The sequence below is a fragment of the Homo sapiens genome, chromosome 10 (genome assembly GCF_000001405.40).
Source record: "Homo sapiens chromosome 10, GRCh38.p14 Primary Assembly".
NCBI classification, from domain to species: domain Eukaryota; kingdom Metazoa; phylum Chordata; class Mammalia; order Primates; family Hominidae; genus Homo; species Homo sapiens.
Window position 1 is genome coordinate 2,928,733 of NC_000010.11, and position 6,811 is coordinate 2,935,543.

General features: G+C 44.7%; 2 annotated features.

Annotated features, from left to right (window-relative positions):
• Positions 648-1,217: an enhancer, noted in NCBI's record as "OCT4-NANOG hESC enhancer chr10:2971572-2972141 (GRCh37/hg19 assembly coordinates)". NCBI's record gives its function as "activates a minimal SCP1, AML or CMV promoter by ChIP-STARR-seq in naive H9 embryonic stem cells {active_cell/tissue: H9 hESC(naive)}" and the evidence as "EXISTENCE:reporter gene assay evidence [ECO:0000049][PMID:30033119]".
• Positions 5,404-5,940: an enhancer, noted in NCBI's record as "H3K4me1 hESC enhancer chr10:2976328-2976864 (GRCh37/hg19 assembly coordinates)". NCBI's record gives its function as "activates a minimal SCP1, AML or CMV promoter by ChIP-STARR-seq in naive H9 embryonic stem cells {active_cell/tissue: H9 hESC(naive)}" and the evidence as "EXISTENCE:reporter gene assay evidence [ECO:0000049][PMID:30033119]".

Here is a 6,811-nt window from a genome sequence, read left to right on the forward strand (position 1 = left end):
GTGAGGAAAACCATGTTCCCAGAAACCACCCAGCACCTCACTCTGAAAAATCCTTTCTCAACTCTCTAGGTATCTCTTTTTGTTCTGTTTAGAAAAATGAAGCATGCTTATTGCGAAGGGAAAAAAAGAAAAGAAAAAAGAAAGAAATGATTCTGAATGGCTTTGGTCTCCCATGATTTCACAAGTTTAGCCAGAGAAGCCATTAATAGCTAGGTCTGGGCTCCTCTTCAATACAGTTTCACTGAAAAAAAAAATGATGTTTCAAATTAGTAATTCATCACACCTGAATTAACACTAAAACGTCCATCAAATTAAAATCATTTTGCAAGATTGGAATTGTTTCTGCAACGCCTGAAGTCCAAAAATGGAGGCATGAGAGTGAATAAGAATCAGGATGTAAATGAATTCCTGACACGTCATTCCAGTCTCTGAATGGGGGGCTGGAGTAGGAATTAAATAATCACACGCAAATTGGATTTCCAAGATCTTTCCAGGCCAGCTACTGTAAGCTGTTTGTTGTTTGGACAGGTCAGTTTTGGGTGAGTTGTGTGCTTTCAGGGAAGCGAGGGGATAGCAGAGTGAGGGGTGGGGAGGAGAGAGGAGAAAGCCCACAGAGGTGCAGCCCCTAAACCAGGCCAGTGCCTTTCCTCCTGTTGGAAGCATAGAATTAAATTTCATTCACAAGCCCAAAGCACTTTCCACAGGTCTTTAAAATGGGATTAGCCTAAAGCAATCAAGTTGGAGAGACTAACCAGCAAACGCTAAAAGTACTCCCACCTGCCTACTCAATGGAACTGTTTGCCAGGGGAAAAAAAAAAAAGTCATCAGATGCATTTTCGTGGCATTGAGCAATGGATTAATGACACATGGAGACATGCAGAGACACTTGGAAGGCTGGCCTGAGCTCTCCGAGAGGCGGTGGTCAGCAGTTTAGGGTCTGAATTGGTATTTACACCATCAATCTCCAGCTGTGCCCAGTGTTCCTGGATGCAGCCTAGTTTTCCTGGCCTGAGAGCTCTCTGAAAAGTAGCCTCATGCATTTTGCATCCTTGAAACGTGAACTCTTTTATGCAGCATCCGATGTGAAGAGAGGCTGTGGAATGCGGGTGAGTGTGTTGGCAAATTTTATGTGTATTTTGTATACAAATAAATTTTTTATCTGTCCGTATAAATATAGGCATTCACAAATGTATGCCACAAATGCAAAATCTCTTCATATGAATGCACATTTTTAAAATGAGTTAAAGGGATGCTATAGAAGGGATACATTTCTCAAAGTTCGTGTGCTGTTAAAAAGAATCTTGAATAGACAGGACAAAATGCCTTCCTGTCAAGCATAAATGGAGGTATCTTAAATTAGCCAGTGAAAATCATTCCTGCTCTGTGTGAGACCTCATTTGGAGTGCGGGCTCCATTTACTGTGGGCTGGCTGATTACAGCAGGGCTGCAGAAATGAGGGGGCAGGAGAAAGAAACCAACTCCTTATACCTCTGTAAGACAATGAAAAAATTATATTAGCTTGCCCCCAAAGAAATCTAGAAAGAAAAGGAAAGAGTTCAACATTTTTAGAATAAGACCGAACAAATGGTTAATGTGCACTGGACGTAAACATAGTGAGTGTTCATTAGACATAAAAATAGTCACTTCTAAAAGATTAGAGATAAAAATATTGGATGATCAATTGTGGGAATCTTGTTTGCCTCTGACTTTTGTTACATTCTTACCTCTTCTGAGGTCCTATTTTTCCTGTGGTATTCATTAATTTGAAATGAACTGATGCTGACATTAATTGAAAAATAAAGGAAAAGAAAACTCTTGAATTATATATTAGCCCATTGATTGTCAAATACTTCCCTGCAGGTGCCATTTACCAATGTATGTTTCTGAATGCACACATGAATATGCGGAGTACTTTTCTCAAAAAAAAAAAAAATTAAAGGAAAGGCTAAAGAAATAAAGGAAGGAAGGAGATTTCTAAATACGGAAGAATAGTGCCTGGACTAGAAGAGTATGTACTGTGTATCTTCATCAAAGCTATACTATTTTACCTGTTTTAATTGACTGTGTGAGTTCATAGGGATCCCAAAACTAACTCCTTAAAAACACGCAGACAGAAAGAGCAAATAAAATGCACATCCAGCCGGGCGCGATGTCTCAGGACTGTAATCCCAGCACTTTGGGAGGCCGAGGCGGGCAGATCACGAGGTCAGGAGATTGAGACCATCCTGGCTAACACAGTGAAACCCCGTCTCTACTAAAAATACAAAAAAATTAGCCGGGAGTGGTGACAGGCACCTATAGTCCCAGCTGCTCGAGAGGCTGAGGCAGTAGAATGGCATGAACCCGGGAGGCAGAGCTTGCAGTGAGCTGAGATTGCACCACTGCACTCCAGCCTGAGCGACACAGCGAGACTCCGTCTCAAAAAAAAAAAAAAAAAAAAAAAAGAAAGTGCTGGAAAATTCCCTGGGTACATATGGGCTCTATCCCTTTGCTATTCTGAGCAAAGCAACTCAACAGAGGCTTCCCAGCACTGTTTCTGGTGCCAGCATCTCCAGGGCCACTGTGGGCCAGGTCTTTGGTCAGACGACACAAATTAAATGAACATTTACTACGCACCAGGCTCTGGTCCACAGTCAGGACATGGAGCAGAGAAGGCAGGGCGCCCACCTTAGAGAGGGTCGCATTTCATGTGCTCACAGGAATACAGACCATAAACCCCTTGATATGGTTCGGCTGTGTCCCCACCCAAATCTCATCTTCAAGTGTCATAATCCTCACATGTCATAGGAGGGACCCAATGGGAGGTACTTGAGTCATGAGGGAGGGTTTTCCTGTGCTGTTCTCATGGTAGTGAATAACTCTCATGAGATCTGGTGGTTTTATAAAGGGCAGTTCCCCTGCACACAGTCTCTTGCCCGCCACCATGTAAGACGTGCCTTTGCTCCTCCTTCACCTTCTGCCACGATTGTGAGGCCTCCCCAGCTATGTGGAATGTGAGTCCATTGAACCTCTTCTTCTTTGTAAATTACCCAGGCTCAGGCATTTCTTCAGAGCAGTGTGAAAATGACTAATACACACCTATGTCAATAATTAGGAGGACTGCTGGTGCTGAAAGGGGTAACATTTAAGAGTTAGCACTTACATTCTTTACCGAACATTTTTACTATTTAATTATGCTGCTTGTGGAATCAGTTGCTGTTATGTCACTGGGACAAATCATCATGGCCCTGCTTGATCCTCAGCTACTAGTTCAGTGGGGCCTATGGGACCCAGAAAATCACAGTCTCTCCTAGGGATGTAGTAAATTCAGATGGGAATGAGGTTGGGAGATGAAATTTCAGTAACAATAGTTTCCTAAATCTGTGACCAGTAAGAGGAGTCCTTCGGTCTTGACATTACTAACCATGTTGTTTTCGCTATTGGTACTGCCTCGATACATCAGCTAGCTTAAGCAAACAAGCTCACAATCTCAGTGGCTCATAAGACACGTTCATTTCTTGCTCTTGGTCCTTGGTGCTGAGGACTGGCTTCAGGTCTACCTGTCGGATTCTCTTATCAAGGCCTGGCTGAAAGGCCAGCCCCTGGGTCAGCAGGACCACTCTCATGGCAGATCGAAGAATCAAGGCAAGGACTCCAAACCTTCTGCTGGGAGGTGGCACAGGGCACGTCCACTAGGTTCCACTAGCCAAAGATGTCACGTGGCTGCTGGGATGGGAATCAATGGGAGGGAATGTAGATACACATCAACGGGATGGGGACTAGGGACTCTCCTTGTGAGGAGCCATTGGAAGTCACATGTCACCCTGTGGGAATGGGTGATCCCACAGAAGGAGGCCATCACCTAACTGGGAACAGGAGCCCATCTGTCTCGTGAAGCTTATCAGCGTGCTTTCTGTCTAGTATCACAGATTACCACAGGAGAGATGCTGAATCTACCAAAGGGTTGAGACTGTGTCATTTATATATCTTAGCGTGCTCTACAAAGGCATTCCAAACAGCCATTAACCCGGGATGGATGAACTCTTAGTGTCTGTTTCCAAATCAGTGATACAGAACTAGCCTCCACTATTGTCCTCAAAAACACTATTTCGGATTTTATCTCCCTTAAAACTGATCACAAACGATAAATATTTAACAGCACGTCCACTAAACATAAAATTTGCCTTCCCAGAAAATGTGTATTTTATTTTTGTTTCTCTTTTCATTTGTCACAGTATCTTATAGGCATAAAGATTAATGTACACGTAATTCTTATTTTCTATATGAAATTTCTACTTACTATTTTTACATGAAAAGAAAATATGTGACTATTGTCTAAGGGTGTCACACAGCTCTTGGTCAGCAGGATAAAACAGAAACAGCAAGCAGGCCAAACAAGGGATTTAGCCAAGCCCGCTGAATCCTCGGGCCTCTGCAATGTTTTGTATCATTAATTGGCACCGACCTTCTGAGCCAGCTTCCTGCCCTGACCAGCTTTGGCCTCCGGGCCAGCACACCCCATGCATGAGACGTTAGCCGATGTCCAGGACAAGCTGGCTGGCCGAACTGCTAACAGCACATTCAGAGCTCCTGAGTGCCGAAGCCTCGTCCTCAATCCCAGGAACCCTCCCCAGACTGGGTCCATCAGTGAGACCAGGTTTCCATGGAAATTCAGTGGACTCCTTCCAAACACCCAGGTGCCTGATGGTCAGTGCAGGCAGCGAAGCATCAGCACACTGGGGGAAGGACAAGCTGATGAGAGACTCTGAGTTACATGCTTGAATAAGAAAATAAAGAACATAAAAAGATAATATAAAAGGTAAATAAAAATAAAAAGATAAAAAAACATAAAGAATAATGAAATAAAGAAAATTTTAAAAACTCTGAGCCTGTGGGATTCCATGTGAAATTTTTTTGCAGGAAAATTCTGGTGAAGGGATCCTAAAGTGAGGAAAAAGGAAAACATTTATGCTGAGTCATATTTGTAAATTGACCACAGTAATGTAAGAAGATGGGGAGAAAAACAAGCCCAGAATCAAGTGCGACCTGAGATACACAGGAATTCACCAGCGACTAGAGAGGGGATGCCACAGGACTTTGAAATGCAAAACCAAAGAAACAGAATTAGAAACGAAGAGAAGATTCTTCTCAAATCCATTCAGAGGAAATGAGATGGAAGAAAATGGATGAAAACCTTAAGCAAATTTCCAAAGCATAAATGACAGAAAGAAACCCAGGTTTCAGATGCCACAGGAAGTGTTAGAGAAAAAGAAAACAGGTTAAACTCTTAAGAAAAGTTAAGTGTTCCTGAGACGGAAGGACTGGCCACCTGCTCCAAGCACTCTAGGAGGTTCCAGTCCCTGAGGTATATCAGAGCAGGGCTTCCTCAGTCAGTCCCTGAAGTATATCAGAGCAGGGCTTCCTCAGTTTGGGGAAAGAGGAAGTGTGATCCCAACCATGGCCACCATGCACTCATTTAAGAAAAGAGAAAAGACGTCTGGACAGCAGGATTTCCCCTGGACACCGTTAAATTCGGTTTATGGAAAACTCACGGGCGTTTTATTGAAGAGACTAATGGGGATAACGGAGAAGATGACATACTTTCCTGAAAAACTGCAGTGGAAGCAGAAAGAGATGAAAGGAAATTAATCAGTTTTAGAGAAATGGGCCCCACACTGCCAGGACACAGAAGGGCAGCCCCGGTCCCCACAGGATCGTGACAGACAACCACAGCTCCTGCGACTACAGGAATTCTACAAATAGATTTTCACACTTAGAAGAAAATGCCACCCAGGAGTACCCACCCCAATTAATTTTCTCAAAAGTGGTTTTGCGGAGGCTCAGAAGTAAAGTCGGGACACAGGGCGCCAGCCAGCCCCACCTTCCCAAAATCACCTGCCCTGGGGCCACCCACCTGCAACCACACTGTTAGAGATGGGTTTTTATTCTCAGCCGTTTCCAGAGCAAATATTCCCGGAGAAGCATGCATTAGAGTAAGGTGCCTCTTCATAGAGATCCTGGAGAGCGAGGCTTCGGCAAGTGACTGGCCAGGGGCCCCGGGAACTTCCCGGTTGGGGGGCTGGAGTGTAGAGGGGACAGAACCCTAACGGCGGGTGAGTTGAAAATGGAAGAGCGTTCTTCACTTCAGTCTCCTGGGGCCTTTCCCTTCAGGAACTGAAGCGGTGAGGAGGGCCGTGCAGCCTAAGACAGCTGCTACCTGGGCTTTGAGAGCCGACACATCTATCCCCAGAGCCCGGCAGCCCCCAGCCCAACCCACCCTGCAGTAACTGAAGTGCTTCATCCCCACCCAGCGCCAGTCTGGGGTCTGGCGCACACTGTGTACTTGACAAACCTATGCCATACATGGAGTGATGATGTCACTTTCCTACTTCAACTGCCCCCCAAAGTATACCTTCTGGACACTGGAAAAAAGACACCCCTCAGTGTAGCCCCAAGGCCTCTGCTCTCCATGGGCCTCCTGAGTGTGACTGCAGCGTGGCGAGCAGGAAGCCGCGGGCTTCTTGATAAAAGTGTACAACGAAGCCCTGTCTGTGAAAGGCCCCCATCTGTTAGATTTGAAAAACATGTAAAGGCCGTTTGCTTTTCACAATGAGTAGACTTTTAGGAACGTATTCTAAGGAAAGGCAGAAGATATGGGGAAACAAATTCAACAAGAATATTATTTGCAGCAATACAAGGGAGGAAGGGAGGGAGAGAGAGAGAAGAGAGGAAAAGGGGAACAGAGACAGAGAGAAGAGACAGAGACTGACACAGAGAGAGAAGAGAAAGAGAAACAGGGTCAGAAAGAAGAGCAAGAGACAGACAGAGACAG